General features: G+C 38.9%; 1 long non-coding RNA gene across 7 annotated transcripts in view, besides 2 other annotated features; it reads left to right on the top strand.

The window, feature by feature from the left end:
* Nucleotides 1–18,277, top strand: part of MIR325HG (MIR325 host gene) — a 356,735-nt gene that overhangs the window by 273,186 nt on the left and 65,272 nt on the right. The gene's annotated exons all lie outside the window — the stretch shown is intronic.
* Nucleotides 15,133–15,618: an enhancer, noted in NCBI's record as "H3K4me1 hESC enhancer chrX:75946137-75946636 (GRCh37/hg19 assembly coordinates)". NCBI's record gives its function as "activates a minimal SCP1, AML or CMV promoter by ChIP-STARR-seq in naive H9 embryonic stem cells {active_cell/tissue: H9 hESC(naive)}" and the evidence as "EXISTENCE:reporter gene assay evidence [ECO:0000049][PMID:30033119]".
* Nucleotides 15,619–16,120: an enhancer, noted in NCBI's record as "H3K4me1 hESC enhancer chrX:75945635-75946136 (GRCh37/hg19 assembly coordinates)". NCBI's record gives its function as "activates a minimal SCP1, AML or CMV promoter by ChIP-STARR-seq in naive H9 embryonic stem cells {active_cell/tissue: H9 hESC(naive)}" and the evidence as "EXISTENCE:reporter gene assay evidence [ECO:0000049][PMID:30033119]".

Raw genomic sequence — 18,277 nt, 5'->3', positions numbered from 1 at the left:
GACCAGGGCCGAGAACTTGCCCCAGACTGTGAGCCTCCTCATTGAGAAAGCAAACAGACTCACAGTTTTTCAGTGTCTCAGATAGCCTGCAGCAGTGATACAGTTTTTTCAAAGGGTCTGTGGATCCTTGCAGCTTTCTGATACGTTTCTGCAGTAGTTCTTGGAGCAAAAGTTCACTCTGTGAGTCTCCACGCACTGGTGTGTCCATCCGATCAGGAGCTGCAAGATAGTCTAGCCTCCTATCCACCGTCTTAATCCATTTCTGATTGGTTTATTATTTAGTCTTTGTAATTCAGATAAGAGAAGTTTACATACCACAGTTACAGTGTTATGATATTCAGTGGTGTTTTTTGTTTGTTTGTTTGTTTTTTCTTGAGTCTTGCTCTGTCACCCAGGCTGGAGTGCAGTGGTGCCATCTCAGCTCACTGCAACCTCTGCCTCCTGGGTTCAAGCAATTCTCCTGCCTCAGCCTCCCGAGTAGTTGGGATTACAGGCACATGCAAACGTGCCCAGGTAATTTTTGTATTTTTTTTAGTAGAGACAGGGTTTCACCATTTTGGCCAGGCTGGTCTCAAACTCCTGACCTTGTGATCTGCCCACCTTGGCCTTCCAAAGTGCTGGGATTACAGGCGTGAGCCACCAAGTGCAGAAGTTTTTTTTTTTTTTTGTACTTACTATATTACCAGTGAGTTTTGTACCTTCATGTGATCACTAATTGCTCATTAATGTCTTTTTGTTTCCGATTGAAGTACTACATTTAGCATTTTTTTGTAGGACAGTTCTGGTGTTGAAATCCCTCAGCTTTTGTCTGTCTGGTAAAGACTTTATTTCTCCTTCATGTTTGAAGAATATTTTCACCTGATAAACTATTCTAGGTTAAACATGGCTTTTTTTTTTAGCACTTTAAATATGTCATGCCTCTTGACGTATTTAAATATGTCACTCTCTCTTGGCCTGTATGGTTTCCATTGAAAAGTCTGCTGCCAGGCATATTTCAGCCCCAATATATGTTGTTTGTTTGTTGTTTTCTTGCTGAGTTTAGAATTCTTTATTTATAATAAGTCTTTTGGAGTTTAATTATTAAATGCCTAGAGTCAGTCTTCTTTGGGTTAAATCTACTTAATGTTCTATAACCTTCTTGTACTTGAATTGTGGTATTTTTCTCTAGGTTTGAGAAATTCTCTGTCATTATCTTTTTGAATAAACATTCTAGCCCTCTCTTTTTCTCTATATATTCTCTTTAATGCCAACAACCCTTAGATTTGCTTTCTTGAGGCTATTTTCCAGTTCCCGTAGGTGTGCTTTATTTTTAAAACTTTTTTCTTTTGTCTCCTCTGACTAAAAACTTTCAAATAGCCTGACTTCATGCTCAGTATTTCTACTGTTAAAAGACTCTGATACTTTCTTCAGTATGTCAATTGCATTTTTAACTTTAGAATTTCTGCTTGATTCTGTTTAATTATTTCAACTTTTTGTTAAATTTATCTTATATAATTTTGAATTCCTTCTCTGTGTTATCTTGACTTTTTTTTTTCAGGTTGCCCATTACAGCTATTTTGAATTCTCTGTCTAAACGGTCACATATCTCTGTCTTCCCAGGATAGGATTCTTGTACCTTATTTAGTTCATTTTTTGAGGTCACATTTTTCTGGGTGGTGTTGATGTTAGTAGATGTTCTTTGGTGTCTGGGAAGTGAAGAACTAGGTATTTATTGCAGTCTTCACTGTTTGGGTTTGTTTCTACCCATCCTTCTTGGGGAGACTTTCCAGATATTTGAAATGACTTGGATGTTGTGATCTGAGCTATATCTGCTTTAAGGGACATCCCAAGCAGAGTAATGCTGTGGTTCTTGAGAACTCATAGAACTACCACCTTGATGGTCTTAGACAAGATCTGGTAAAATTCTCTTGATTACCAGGTAGGAACTCTTGTTCTTTCCTTTCACTTTCTCCCAAACAAATTGAATCTCTCTCTCTGTTCTGAGCCACCTAAAGTTAGAGATGGAGTGACACAAGTAACCCTTTGGCCACCACTACTAGGACTGTACTGGATCAGACCTGAAGCCAACACAGCACTGGGTCTCATCCAAGGGCGATGATACCCACTCCCTGGCTACTGCCTATGATCACTCAAGGCACTGACGCTCTACAGTTGAAAATTGGCAAATCCAGCCAGACCTGTGTCATTCCCCTCAGGTTGACAAGTTCCCCCAGCCTGGGTTCATCCAGAGGTGCCCTTTGGGAGTCAGGGACTAGAGTGAAAAACCTTAAATCTACATGGTGTTCTATTGTACTATGCCTAAGTTGGCAATCAAACCACAAGATGCAGACCTTTCTATTGTTCCCTCCTTTCTCCAAAGACAGAAGAGCCTCACCTTGTAGTCACTGCCACCGCAGACCATGGGGAGTACTGCCAGACTATCACTGATGTTCCCTTAAGGCACAAGCATTCTTAAGTCAGCTTTTGGTGAATGCTAACATGCCTGGGACTCATTTTTCAGAGAATTAAGCTCCTCTGTGGCCCAGGGTGGGTCCAGAAATGTCATCCAAGAGTCAAGTCCTGGAATCAGGGACCCCAAGGGCCTGTTGGCACACTACCCATGCCCCAGATGGCAATGCTGTTAGCTAAGGTGCAAGACAAAGTCCTTTTTACTTTACTCTCTCCTTTTCTCAAGCAGAAAATGATTTGTATAATAGCCACCACAGCTGGTAATGTGTTGAGTTTCACCTGAAGCTCACAAGTCTTAAGGGCTCACCCAAGTCCCTCAACATAGAACCTGGGTATCACTGCTGATTATTCAAGGCCTAAGGGCTCTTCAGCTGCAGGTGATGAATGCTGCCAGGACTGGGTCTTTTCTCTCAAGGCAAGCAGGTTTACTTCTGGCCCAGAGTGCATCTAGAAATACTGTCTGGGAGTTAGGGCCTGGATAGGGGACCTCACAACTCTGACTAGTACCCTATCCTGCTGTGACTGAGCTGGTATCCAAGATGCAAGACAAAGTCCTTCCCACTCTTTCTTCTCTTCTCCTCAAGTGAAAGGAAGGTATATTTTTAGGAGTCATGAACTGTGCAGCCTGTGGTTGGGGGAGGGGTGATGCGAGCACTACTTTTCCCACCCCCAGCTTGTGTCTCAGTAGATTGTATGTCCTCCCAGTTCCACTGTCTCTGGGCCCAGTTCACCACTAGAACTCACCTAGAGTTGTTTTCAGGAACTCACGTTCTAACTTCTGGGATTACAATTTTTCTCTGGCTAGGTCTGATTTTAATTCTCCTGCTGTGGGCAGGCATCAGCTGAGTTTGGTCTGGTTTTTCTTTCTGCTCCAGAAGGACAGCACTGAGTTCAGTGATTCACAATTTCTGGCACTGTTTCCCCTAGAGCCCAGAGAAGCTCCCTGAACTATGCTGCTGCTGCCAGGGGGTGTGAGAGGGCTAGCTTCAGTGATTCAAGGTTTTTTTTCTATCTTTTCAGTGTGTCGTTCAGTGATACGAAGTTAAATACAGGTACTATGAGGGCTCACCTGATTTTTGGTTCTTATGAATGTAATTTTTTTTTTTTTTGTCGATAGTTGATCAATTAGTGTCATTGCAGGGTAACCAGTTGATTGTCATCTAGCTCTGCTTCTGCTTTTTGCTTTTTTTATTGTTTGATGCCCTTGATGGTTTGAGTGTGTTATCCATTTGGTTTAGCTAATTGGTTTGTTTCTGGAAGATCTGGAAGATTTTATGGGTCCAAATCTCAGCTCAGCACATCTGGGCTGCATGCTCCAGCCCTGGGACATGCAGAGCTTTTTTTCTCTGGCCACTGGAGGTTAAGCACTTGCTTCACTGGAGGGGCTAAAGTATTGCCAGTCCATTGGTAACAACATTCATAAGGGAATTGCTGACAAATGCACTTAACCAGGGCTGTGGTAGGTGGTGGTTCTTGCCTATGCATGCTTGCCCAGTAGTGGGATGAGATGGTGGTGGGGTCAGCATGTGTGCACATGCCAGTCAAACAGCCGTGGGATACTGTGGGTGAACACTCCCTGGTGAATTAGCGGGGGACATTGTGGGCTACTGTATTCCAGTGAAGGCAGTGGGACTAGTGTATTCCAGTGAAGGTAATGGGAGGCCGTGAGCAAGTGTGTGCCAGTGAGGCAGGGTTCTTGTTCGGTGTGCATTGGTGGTGGTCTGCCCACAGATGCTATTAGGTGGACTCTGCCAGCAAAAGAGCTATAGTGGTGGCCGCTTACAAGTGCTTTGGCTGGGCAGCTGAGTCTGCACTGAAAGTGGGTGCAGCCTGGCAGGGAGCCTGAAATAGCAAATAGGAGTCACTCAGATCAGATTGGCCCTGTTCTATGGGCAAGATAATGCTGTTGTGTCCAGGTCTGACAGCAAAAAAAGGCTAAAGCTACCTAGAAGTGTATGACAAGCATTGAGTGATGGATGCCCATGGCCATTCTCCACTGCAGCTGTTCGAGCATCAAACTTTCTTGGCTCTTTGCAGGCTGGGGTTCTGTCTCTGCCATCTCTCTGGCAGTTCTCCCTGCCAGCTCAGATGTCCATAGGGGTTGTGGGTTCTCCTACAGCTAGAATTTTTGAGGTCCACAGTGAGAGTGGGCCACTCCATGCCTCTTTCACTCACCCCTCTTTAGGAGCTGCTTGGAGCTAGGAATGAGTTATGGTTTTCAGCAATCCCATGCAGCATTTCCAGCTTTCTCCCTTTTCAGCCTGTGATCTGTGTCCTCTCTTCACCCGCTCTCAATGCTTTCTTTCTGAAGATCTGTTCAGAGTGTGCCAATCTCTTTGATGGTCTGGTCTCTTGGTGGGAGAAGCTCTTCCTGTCTGTATCTAGTTGGCCATGTTGGCTCCAAGTTAAATTTTATTATCTTAACTATATATTTTTTTGTTTACAGCTAAGAAGTGTTAACTACATTCACATGGTGGTGCCATATGTTTCTATGTCTTTTTTATGTTGCAGAACTGAATCTCCACATTCATTAAACAATAACTCCCCTTTTCCCTTCCTTTCAACCCTGGCAATGACTACTCCTTCTTTTTATAAATTTGACTATTTTAGAAACTCATATAAGTGAAATCATTCAGTATTTGTTTTATTGGGACAGCCTCATTTCACTTAGAATAGCATCCTTAAGGTTCATTCAAGTTTTTGAAGAACCACTAATTATTAAGCATCTATCTTGTGCTACAAAATTCCTACAAATTACTTCATTCAATCCTCCCAACATCTCTATAAATTAGTTTTATTCTTCTATATTGCAGTTAATATAATTAAGACTCAAATTAGTTAAGTGACTTTCCCAAGGGTCACCAAGTCAAACGTGTGTTTTTCCCAAATCCTTTGTTTATCCCTTAGGCCACTTTGTGGCAGCTATTTGCAGTTGATCTATGTCCGTAAGGAAGACAATAAAAACAAAATTTATTGAACAATTCAATTTTATGTTCCCTTAATCCCTGATTATTTGTTTTGTTTTCATTTGGGTAAGAAGTAGGCATCATATGTAGATTTTTTGAAGAGATGCTGCTAAGAAACACAACAGGCTATGTGAAAATCGTGGGCCTGAAATGCTCATAATACAGCTCTAACATTACATGTTTATATGAACAAATTATTTTGGCATATTTTGGTTTAAGTGCAAATCATAGAACATTTATTATTATAGGTATAAAAAAAGGTTGCCAAACACTTTGGGCCTAGTGCTTATGAAACAATACCACTCAATGCTTCAAAATACTAAATAACACAATAAGCAAAATCTTAGCTTCTGACCAAGTAAACAAGTCGAATGATCCAGAGATCTAATGGCTTAGGTTTTTAGCCTATTTTTGGGATTAATGTGAATGTGTACTTTATGTCTGTCTTCTTCTTGGCAGAATCTGCAACCTGGCACATTTCCCATTTACCTGGAATACTGAGCACTTGCCTCACTGTGTATTCAGCCCAGTCAGAGTGAACAGAAGTGAGAATTTTCAGGAGTAGAATACGTGTAGGTCAAGATTCTGGATATTGTTACGTACTGTGTGTTAATAAGACTAACTCCATTTTGAGAAGTATAAATGTTAGCCAAACTAAACTTAATTGAGCCTGCTCATACATGTGAGGACTCATGGTCTCATATGTATTGGGGGTGGGAAAGAATAAAATGTGGATCCCTCTAAGTTAGCATGTCCTAAAACTTTCCAGGCAAAATTTCTGTCTTAGCGTAATTTACAAAATTCTTTTTTTCTCTGAATTTTTCTCTTCTTTACAAGCTGAACTTTAACTAAAGAGAAGCAATATTCTCTCTTAGGTTAGTAGTATCAACTATAACAATAAGCCTGAGAGGCAAAAATTCAGTATCAAACATAAGGTAATTTATACATTTTATTGGTTGTGCAGTGTATCATTGAAAATAAAGTGTGGAGTAATATCCGTCATTGAAAGCAGAGATAGTTTAATCTTTTGGTGTCCAGCTGCTGTTTTGGGTGCGTTTGCTAAAGGAATAATCCCATTAGTTATATAAAACAAAATTTACCAAAGTTAGAATGGAGAAGAATTCTGGGAAATAAGTCACCAAATGGTAGGCTATAGCTTACAATAGTTTCTCCCTTGTACATTTATTTAAAAATTCACACTGCATATGTATTCCAGAACTTAAAGTAAAATTAAAAAAATAAAAAAATCACATCAAAAGATACTTCTCTATTCCACTAAGATTAATTTTGGACACCAAAATATGTCTTTGCCTTATAACTTTATCAACGCCAAAACACTGTACTTGTAAAACAAAAACAAAAACAAAAGCAAAAGCAAAACAAAACAGCATTACTAAAAACAAAGAATAAGTAGGCCAGTGACAGTGGCTCATGCCTGAAACCCCAGCACTTTGAGATGCCGAGGTGGGCAGATCACTTGGGTCCAGGAGTTCAAGACCAGCATAGGCTACATGATGAAACCCCTTCTTTAAAAGAAATACAAAAATTAGCCAGGCGTGTAGTCCCAGCTACTTGGGAGGCTGAGGTGGGAGGATCACTTGAGCCTGGGAGGCAGAGGTTGCAGTGAGCCAAGATCATGCCACTGCATTCCAGGCTGGGTGACAGAGTGAGACTCTGCCTCAAATAAAAAAATAAGAAGAAAACATATAAGAGAGCAAATAAAGGAAAAATTAAGTATTAAAAGATCAAGTTTACAAAAGGCTGACATTCTCATCTGTCATAGATTTTCTGATTCACAGATTCTATTTCACATGGTCTAAGGAAACCAGGAGAAATGTCTTCTAAATTCTTAGACTTATATCTTCACTTTCATTTTCTTCTTTGTGCCTCCCCTGTACTTTAAAAATATACATCATGGTAGGCAACTACTTTTAAAGGAAAGAGTGGGTAAAAAATTCAGATAATTTTCTTTTCCATGAGTAAGCATAAAATTCCCATATTACTTTAGGAATAACAAAATGGAAAGAGGCATTGAAACTTCCTATTATTTCTTTTTCACTTAGAAAGGATAAAGAGTTCTTTTTTTTGTTTGTTTTGCAGAACCACAAAGAGTGAGGCTTCAGTAAGAAAATTAAAAATATATAGGTAATTTTGAAGATCCAATGATAGAATGGATATAAAATAAAAAGATAGTAGATTATCCTGGTGATTAGCAAGCCCCTCAAAGTATTATACATCCACTTTGCTATCTGTCTAGTCATTCTTCTTCTATACTTACAACAACAAAGACTGATCAGGGAGTCCAAGGCAACTGTAGGCAGGAGAGCTCCCCCAGCACAGCCTAGTGCTCTAAGGAGAAGTGATCAGGCTGCTTAGTCACATGGATCTTGAATCCCATTTCTCTTCACTGGGTGGAATCTCTCAACCAGGGTGTCCAGTAAACCCTGCTGGTGTTTTCCAACCAAAAACAGTTTAAAACCTCCCTGGGACACAGCTCCCAAGGGGAGGGGTGGGCCACCATCTTTGCTGTTTTGCCTGCCTTGGCTGTTTTTGCCTTTGTGCTTTGGAGAGTCCAAAGCAACTGGGGGCTGGAGTGGAACCCCAGCACACATAGATGCTCTACAAAAATGCGATTAGGCTGAATATTTATTTTATTTTATTTTTATTTCCATAGGTTTTGAGAAACAGGTGGGATTTGATTAGATGAGTAACTACTTTAGTGGTGATTTCTGAGATTTCAGTGCACCCATTAACCTAGCAGTATACACTGTACCAAATTTGTAGTCTTTTCTTCCTCAACCCCCTCCCACCCTTTCCCCCAAGGCCCCAACGTCCATTGTATCATTCCTACGCCTTTGCATCCTCATAGCTTAGCTCCCACTTATGAGTGAGAACATAGGATTTTTGGTTTTCCATTCCTGAGTTACTTCACTTAAAACAATGGTCTTCAATTTCATTCAGGATGCTGCAAATGCCATTAATTTTTTCCTTTTCGTGGCTGAACAGTATTCCATTCTATATGTATACCACAATTTCTTTATCCACTAATTGATCAATGGACATTTAGGCTGATTTCATAATTTTGCAACTGTAAATTATGCTGCTATAAACATGTGTGTGCAAGTATCTTTTTTGCATAATGACTTATTTTCCTCTGGGTAGACACCCAGTGGTGGGATGGATGTATCAAATGATAATTCTACTTTTAGTTCCTTAAGATGTTTCCACATTGTTTTCCACAGTGGTTGTACTACTTCACATTCCCACCAACAGTGTAAAAGTGTTCTCTTTTTACCACATCCCTGCCAAGATCTATAATTATTTTTTTTTAATTTTTTCATTATGGCCATTCTTGCAGGAGTAAGGTGGTAACACACTGTGGTTTTGATTTGCATTTACTTGATCATTAATGATGTTGAGCATTTTTTCACATGCTTGTTGGCTATTTGTACATCTTCCTTTAAGAATTGTCTATTCATGTCCTTAGCCTATTTTTTGATGTCACTCTTTTCTTTTTTTATCTTGCTAATTTCCTTGAGCTTCTTGTAGATTCTGGATATTAGTCCTCTGAAGGATGTACAGATTGTGACAATTTTCTCCAACACTGTGGGTTGTCTGTTTACTCTGCTCATTATTTCTTTAGCTGTGCAGGAGCGTTTTATTTAAGTCACATCTATTTATCTTTGTTTTTGTTACATTTGCTTTTAGGTTCTTGGCCATGAAGTCTTTGCCTAAGCCAATGTCTAGAAAAGTTTTTATGATGTTATCTTGTAAAATTTTTATAATTTCAAGTCTTAGATGTAAGTTTTTGATGCAGCTTGAGTTGATTTTTGTATAAGTTGAGAGATGAGAATCCAGTTTCATTTTTCTCCATGTGACTTGCCAATTATCCGAGCAACATTTGTTAAATAGGATGTGTTTTCCTCAGTTTACGTTTTTATTTGCTTTGTCAAAAATAAATTGGCGTTAAGTATTTGGGTTTATTTTCGGATTCTCTATTTTGTTCCATTGGTCTGCATGCTTAATTTTATACCAGTACCACACTGTTTTGGTGACTATGGCCTTATAGTATAGTTAAAAGTTGAGTAATGGGATGCCTCCAAATTTGTTCTTTTTGCTTAGTCTTGCTTTGGCTATGTGGACTCATTTTTGTTCCATATGAATTTTAGGATTTTTTTTTTTTTAGTTCTGTGAAGAATGATGGTGGTATTTTAATGAGAATTGCCTTGAATTTTTAGATTGCTTTTGGCAGTATGGTCATTTTCACAATATTGATTCTACCCATCCATGAGCATGGGATGTTTTTCCATTTGTTTAGTTCATCTATGATTTCTTTCAGTAGTTTTGCAGTTTTCCCTGTAGAGGTCTTTCACCTCCTTGGTTTGTATATATTTGATTTTTTGCAGCTATTGTAAAAGGGGTTGAGTTCTTGATTTGATTCTCAGCTCAGTTGCTGTTGGTGTGTGGTAGAGCTACTGATTGTGCACATTAATTTTGTATCCTGAAACTTTGCTGAATTCATTTATCAGTTCTAGGACCTTTTTGAAGGAATCTTTAGGGTTTTCTAGGTATACAATCATATCATCAGCAAACAGCAACAGTTTGGCGTTTTTTGTTTGTTTTTAACTGATTTGGATGCGCTTTATTGCTTTCTCTTGTTTGATTGCTGTGGATAAGACTTCGAGTACTATACTGATTGAAAGTGGTTATAGTGGGCATCCTTGTCTTGTTCCAGTTCTCAGGGGGAATGCTTTCAGCTTTTTCCCATTCAGTATTATGTTGGCTGTGGGTTTATCATAGATGGCTCTTATTACGTTAAGGTATGTCCTTCTATGCTGATTTTGCTGAGGGTTTTAATCATAAAGGGATGCTGGATATTGTCAAGTGCTTTTTCTGCATCTGTTGAGATAATCATGTGATTTTTGTTTTTAATTCTGTTTAAGTGGTGTATCACAATTATTGACTTGCTGATGTTAAACCATCCCTGCATCCCTGGTATGACACACACTTGATCATGGTGGACTATCTTTTTGATATGCTGTTAGATTAGATTAGCTATTATTTTGTTAAGGAGTTTTGCATCTCTGTTTATCAGAGATATTGGTCTGTAGTTTTCTTTTTTTTGTTATGTTCTTCCCTGGTTTTGGTATTAGTGTGATGCTGGATTCATAGAATGATTTAGGGAGGATTCCTTCTTTCTCTATCTTGTGGAATAGTATCAAATAGATTGGTACAAATTCGTTTTTGAATGTTGATAGAATTCAGTTGAGAATCTCTCTGGTCCTGGACTTTTTTATTTTTGGAAATCTCAAAATTACTATTTCAATCTCGCTGCTTGTTATTGGTAGGTTCAAGGTTTCTAATTCTTCCTGGTTTAAGCTAGGAGGGCTGCATATTTACAGCAATGTATCCATCTTCTCTAGGTTTTTTAGTTTATGCTTGTAAAGTTGCTCATAGAAACCTTGAATAATCTTTTGTATTTATGTGGTGTTGGTTGGTTCTAGTATTTCCCATTTGTTTTCTTTCTTTTTCTTTCTTTTTCTTTTTTTTTTTTTTTTGGAGACAGAGTCTTGTCTTGCACTGTCACCCAGGATGGAGTGCAGTGGTGCAATCTCGGCTCACTGCAACCTCTTGCCTCAGCCTCCTGAGTAGCTGGGATCACAGGCGCCTGCCACCAAGCCCAGCTAATTTTTTATTAGAGACGAAGTTTCACTATGTTGGCCAGACTGGTTTTGAACTCCTGACCTCGTGATCTGCCTGCCCCGGCATCCCAAAGTGCTGGGATTACAGGCATGAGCCACTGCGTTTTGTCCCCATTTCTTTTCTAATGGAGCATATTTGGATCTTCTATGTTGTTTTCTTGGTTAATTTTGCTAGTGGTCTATCAATATTATTTATCTTTTCAAAGAACCAGAGTTTTCTTTCATTTGTCTTGTGGATTTTTTTTTGTTTCAATTTCATTTAGTTCTGTTCTGATCTTGTTTTTTTTTTTTTTTGTTTTTTCTTCTGCTGGGTTTGGGTGTGGTTTGTTCTTGTTTCTCTAGTTGCTTGAGGTGTGACCTTAGATCATCAATCATGTTCTTTCAAACTTTTTCATGTAAGCATCTAAGGCTATGAACTTTTCTCTTAGCACTGCCTTTGCCATATCCCAGAGGTTTTGATAGATTGTGTCACTATTATTGTTCAGTTTAGATAATTTTTAAATTTCCATCTTGATTTCATTGTTGACTCAACGATCATTCAGGAGTAAATTATTCAATTTCCATTTATTTGCACACTTTTGAAGGTTCCCTTTGGAATTCATTTCGAATTTTATTCCACTATGGTCAGAGAGAGTACTTCATATAATATCAATTTTCTTAAGTTTATTGAGACTTGTTTAGTCATCTATCATAAGGTCTGTCTTAAAAAGTATTCTACGCACTGATGAATAGAATGTATATTCTGCAGTTGTTGGGTAGGATGTTCCGTAAACATCTGTTAAGTCCATTTGTTCTAGGTTATAGCTTATGTCCATTATTTCTTGGTTAAATTTTATCTTTATAACCTGTCTAGTTCTGTCAGTGGAGTATTGAAGTCCCCCACTATTATTGTGTTGCTGTTTATCCCATTTCTTAGGTTTAGTAGTAATTGTTTTATAAATTTGACAGCTCCAGTGTTAGGTGCATATATATTTAGAATTCTGATATTTTCCTGTTGGACAAGAACTTTGATCATTATATAATGCCCCTCTTTGTCTTTTTTTTTTTTTATTATACTCTAAGTTTTAGGGTACATGTGCACCTTGTGCAGGTTAGTTACATATGTATACATGTGCCATGCTGGTGTGCTGCACCCACTAATGTGTCATCTAGCATTAGGTATATCTCCAACCACTGTTTCTATGAAGTTTGTTTCGTGTGATATAAGAATAGCTACTCCAGCTCACTTTTGGTCTCCATTTGCATGGAATGTCTTTTTCTCCTCCTTTGCCTTAAGTTTATGTAAGTCCTTATGTGGTAGGTGAGTCTCTTGAAGACAGCAGATACTTGGTTGGTAAATTCTTATTTATTCTGCCATTCTGTATTTTTCAAGTAGAGCATTTAGGCCATTTTCATTCAATGTTAGTATTGAGATGTGAGCTACCATTTTATTCATCATGCTATTTGTTGCCTGAATACCTTGGTTTCTTAAAAATGTATTGTGTTGCTATTTTATAGGTCCTGTGAGATTTAGGCTTTAAGGAAGTTTTGTTTTGATGTATTTCAATAATTTTTTTCAAGATTTAGAACTCATTTTAGCACCACAGCACAATAAAAATAGAAGTCAAGACTTAAAAAAATTGTTCAAAACCATGCAATTGCATGGAAATTAAACAACATGCTGCCAAATAAACCTTGGGTAAATAATGAAATTAAGACAGAAATCAAGAAGTTTTTTGAAACTAACAAGAACAAAGATACAACTTACTGGAATATCTGGACACAGCTAAGGCAGTGTTAAGAGGGGAATTCATAGCACTAAATGCCCACATCAAAACAATAGAAAGATTCTAAATGAACAACCTAAAATCATAACTGAAAGAATTAGAGAAGCAAGAGCAAACCAACTCCAAAACTAACAGAAGACCAAAAATAAAAATAAAAATCGGAGCTGAACTGAAAGAAATCAAGACACAAAAACCATTCAAAAAATAAACAAATCTAGGAGTTGTTTTCTTGACAAAATTAATGATAAACCATTAGCTAGACTAATAAAGAAAAAATATAGAAGATTCAAATAAACATAATTAGAAATGAAAAAGAGAATGCTACCACTGACACCGCAGAGAAAAAATAACTATAGAAAACTGCTATAAACAACTCTATGCACACAAAGTATAAAATCTAGAAGAGGTGAGTAAATTTCTTGACACAAACACCCTTCCAAGACTGAACCAGGAAAAAATTGATTCCCTGAACAGACCAAGAAAGAGCTCCAAAATTGAATCAGTAATAAATACAGTGTCAACCAAAACAAATCCAAGACCAGATGGATTCATAGCTGAATTCTCCCAGATGTACAAAGAAGATCTGGTGCCATTCCCACTAAAACTATTCCACAAAATTTAGGAGGAGGGACTTTTTCCCAACTCATTCTATGAGGCCAACATCATTCTGATACCAAAACCTGGTAGAGACACAGCAGAAAAAGAAAACTTCAGGGCAATGTCTTTGATGAACATTGATGCAAAAATCCTCAACAAAAAAAATTGCAAACCCCATCCAGCAGCAAATCAAAAAGCTAACCAAACAGAATCAAGTAGGCTTCATCCTCAAGATGCAAGATCAGTTCAACATACAAAAATCAGTATATGTAACAGTAATCATGTAAACATAAAGACAAAATCCACATGATTATCTCAATAGATGCAGAAAAGACTTTCTATAAAACTTAACATCCCTATCTGTTAAAAACTCCTTATGAACTAGATATTTAAGGAACATACCTTAAAATAAAAGAGTCATCTATGACAAACCCACAACTAACATGATACCAAATGGACAAAAGCTGGAAGCATCCCCCTTGAAAACTGGCAAAAGACAGGAATGCCTTTTCTCATCAATAATCTTTAACATAGTATTGGAAGTCCTGGCTAGAGCAATCAGGCAAGAGAAAGAAATAAAGGGCATCCAAATAGGAAGAGAGGAAATCAAACTATCCCTGTTTGCAGATGACATGATTCCATATATAGAAAACCACATAGTCTCAGCCCAACAGCCATATAAGCTGAAAAACAACTTCAGCAGTTTCAGGATACAAAATCATGTACAAAAGTCACAAGGATTCCTATGCACCAACAGCAGCCAAGTTGAGAGTCCGATCAGGAATGCAATGTTATTCACAATTGCTACACAAACATAAAGTCCCTAGGAATACAGCTAACCAGGGAGATAAAAGATCTTTACAATAAAAATTACAAAATACTGCTCAAAGAAATCAGAGATGACACAAATAAAAAGAAAAACATTTCATGTTTACAGATAGAATCAATATCATTAAAATGGTCATACTTCCCAAAGCTATTTACAGATTCAAGCTATTTCTATCAAACTACCAATGACATTCTTCAAAGAACTAGAAAAAGCTATTTTAAAATTTATATTAAAAAAAACCCTGAATAATCAAGGCAATCCTAAGCAAAAAAAACAAAACTGGAGGCATCATACTACTCAACTTCAAAGTATACTACACGGCTACAATATACAAAACAGCATGGTACTAGTACAAAAGCAGACACATAGACCAATGGAAAAGAATAGCGAGACCAGAAATAGTGCTGCACACCTACAACCAACTGTTCTTCGACAAAGATGACAAAAACAAGCAATGAGGAAAAGACTCCATTTTAAATAAATGGTGCTGGGATAACTGGCTAGCCATATGCAGATGACTGATGCTGGACTGCTCTCTTGTATCATATACAAAAACCAAGTCAAGATAGATTAAAGATTTAAATGTAAAACCCAAAGCTGTAAAAACTCTGAAAAAAGACCTATGCATTCCATTCTGGACATAGGAATGGGCAAATATTTCACAATGAAGACACCAAAAGCAATCACAACAAAAGCAAAAATTGGCAAATTTGATCTAATTAAACTATAGATCTTCTATACAGCAATAGAAGCTATCAACAGATTAATCGACAACCCACAGAATGGGAGAAAATATTTGCAAACTATGAAGCTGAAAAATTTTAATATCCACCATATATAAAGAACTTACAGCAGCTTACAAGAAAGAAACAACCCCATTAAAAACTGGGCAAGGGACATTAACGGACATTTTTCAAAAGAAGACATACATGTGGCCAAGAAGCGTATGAAAAAAACCTCAATATCACTGATCATTAGAAAAATTCAAAGCAGGAGGGAGGAGCCAAGATGGCGGAATAGGAACAGCTCTGGTCCACAGCTCCCAGCCTGAGCGACACAGAAGATGAGTGATTTCTGCATTTCCATCTGAGGTACCGGGTTCATCTCACTAGGGAGTGCCAGACAGTGGGTGTGCACACCGTGCGTGAGCAAAAGCAGGGCGAGGCATTGCCTCACTCGGGAAGCGCAAGGGGTCAGGGAGTTCCCTTTCCTAATCAAAGAAAGGGGTGACGGACGCACCTAGAAAATCGGGTCACTCCCACCCAAAAATAATGCGATTTTCCGACAGGCTTAAAAAACGGCACACCACGAGATTGTATCCCGCACCTGGCTCGGAGGGTCCTACGCCCACGGAGTCTCGCTGATTGCTAGCAGAGCAGTCTGAGATCAAACTGCAGGGCGGCAGCCAGGATGGGGGAGGGGTGCCCACCTTTGCCCAGGCTTGCTTAGGTAAACAAAGCAGCCAGGAAGCTCGAACTGGGTGGAGCCCACCACAGCTCAAGGAGCCCTGTGTGCCTCTGTAGGCTCCACATCTTGGAGCAGGGCACAGACAAACAAAAAGACAGCAGTAACCTCTGCAGACTTAAATGTCCCTGTCTGACAGCTTTGAAGAGAGCAGTGGTTCTCCCAGCATGCAGCTGGAGATCTGAGAATGGGCAGACTGCCTCCTCAAGTGGGTCCCTGAACCCTGATCCCCGAGCAGCATAACTGGGAGCCACACACCAGTAGGGGCACACAGACACCTCACACTGCAGGGTACTCCAACAGACCGGCAGCTGAGGGTCCTGTCTGTTAGAAGGAAAACTAACAAAGAGAAAGGACATCCACACCAAAAACCCATCTGTACATCACCATCATCAAAGACCAAAAGTAGATAAAACCACAAAGATGGGGAAAAAACAGAACAGTAAAACTGGAAACTCTAAAAAGCAGAGCAACTCTCCTCCTCCAAAGGAACGCAGCTCCTCACCAGCAACGGAACAAAGCTGGATGGAGAATGACTTCGATGAGCTGAGAGAAGAAGGCTTCAGATGATCAAAATACTCTCAGCTAAGGGAGAACATTCAAACGAAAGGCAAAGAAGTTGAAAACTTTGAAAAAATTTAGAAGAATGTGTAACTAGAATAACCAATACAGAGAAGTGCTCAAAGGAGCTGATGGAGCTGAAAACCAAGGCTCGAGAACTACGTGAAGAATGCAGAAGCCTCAGGAGCCTATGCGATCAACTGGAAGAAAGGGCATCAGCAATGGAAGATGAAATGAATGAAATGAAGCGAGAAGGGAAGTTTAGAGAAAAAAGAATAAAAAGAATTGATCAAAGCCTCCAAGAAATATCGGACTATGTGAAAAGACCAAATCTACGTCTGATTGGTGTACCTGAAAGTGACGGGGAGAATGGAACCAAGTTGGAAAACACTCTGCAGGATATTATCCAGGAGAACTTCCCCAATCTAGCAAGGCAGGCCAACGTTCAGATTCAGGAAATACAGAGAACGCCACAAAGATACTCCTCGAGGAGAGCAACTCCAAGACACATAATTGTCAGATTCACCAAAGTTGAAATGAAGGAAAAAATGTTAAGGGCAGCCGGAGAGAAAGGTCGGGTTACCCTCAAAGAGAAGCCCATCAGACTAACAGTGGATCTCTCGGCAGAAACCTTACAAGCCAGAAGAGAGTGGGGGCCAATTTTCAACATTCTTAAAGAAAAGAATTTTCAACCCAGAATTTCCTATCCAGCCAAATTAAGCTTCATAAGTGAAGGAGAAATAAAATCCTTTACAGACAAGCAAATGCTGAGAGATTTTGTCACCACCAGGCCTGCCCTAAAAGAGCTGCTGAAGGAAGCACTAAACATGGAAAGGAACAACCGGTACCAGCCGCTGCAAAATCATGCCAAAATGTAAAGACCATCGAGACTAGGAAGAAACTGCATCAACTAATGAGCAAAATAACCAGCTAACATCATAATGACAGGATCAAATTCACACATAACAATATTAACTTTAAATGTAAATGGACTAAATACTCCAATTAAAAGACACAGCCTGACAAATTGGATAAAGAGTCAAGACCCATCAGTGTGCTGTATTCATGAAACCCATCTCACATGCAGAGACACACATAGGCTCAAAATAAAAGGATGGAGGAAGATCTACCAAGCAAATGGAAAACAAAAAAAGGCAGGGGTTGCAATCCTAGTCTCTGACAAAACAGACTGTAAACCAACAAAGATCAAAAGAGACAAAGAAGGCCATTACATAATGGTAAAATGATCAATTCAACAAGAAGAGTTAACTATCCTAAATATATATGCACCCAATACAGGAGCGCCCAGATTCATAAAGCAAGTCCTGAGTGACCTACAAAGAGACTTAGACTCCCACACATTAATAATGGGAGACTTTAACACCCCACTGTCAACATTAGACAGATCAATGAGACAGAAAGTCAACAGGGATACTCAGGAATTGAACTCAGCTCTGCACCAAGTGTACCTAATAGACATCTACAGAACTCTCCACCGGAAATCAACAGAATATACATTTTTTTCAGCACCACACCACACCTATTCCAAAATTGACCACATAGTTGGAAGTAAAGCTCTCCTCAGCAAATGTAAAAGAACAGAAATTATAACAAACTATCTCTCAGACCACAGTGCAATCAAACTAGAACTCAGGATTAAGAATCTCACTCAAAACTGCTCAACTACATGGAAACTGAACAACCTCCTCCTGAATGACTACTGGGTACATAATGAAATGAAGGCAGAAATAAAGATGTTCTTTGAAACCAATGAGAACAAAGACACAACATACCAGAATCTCTGGGACACATTCAAAGCAGTGTGTAGAGGGAAATTTATAGCACTAAATGTCCACAGGAGAAAGCAGGAAAGATCAAAAATTGACACCATAACATCACAATTAAAAGAACTAGAAAAGCAAGAGCAAACACATTCAAAGCTAA

Source organism: Homo sapiens, chromosome X (assembly GCF_000001405.40).
Source record: "Homo sapiens chromosome X, GRCh38.p14 Primary Assembly".
NCBI classification, from domain to species: domain Eukaryota; kingdom Metazoa; phylum Chordata; class Mammalia; order Primates; family Hominidae; genus Homo; species Homo sapiens.
Note: the sequence above shows the minus strand (reverse complement) of the source record. Positions and strands in the feature narration are given on the sequence as shown.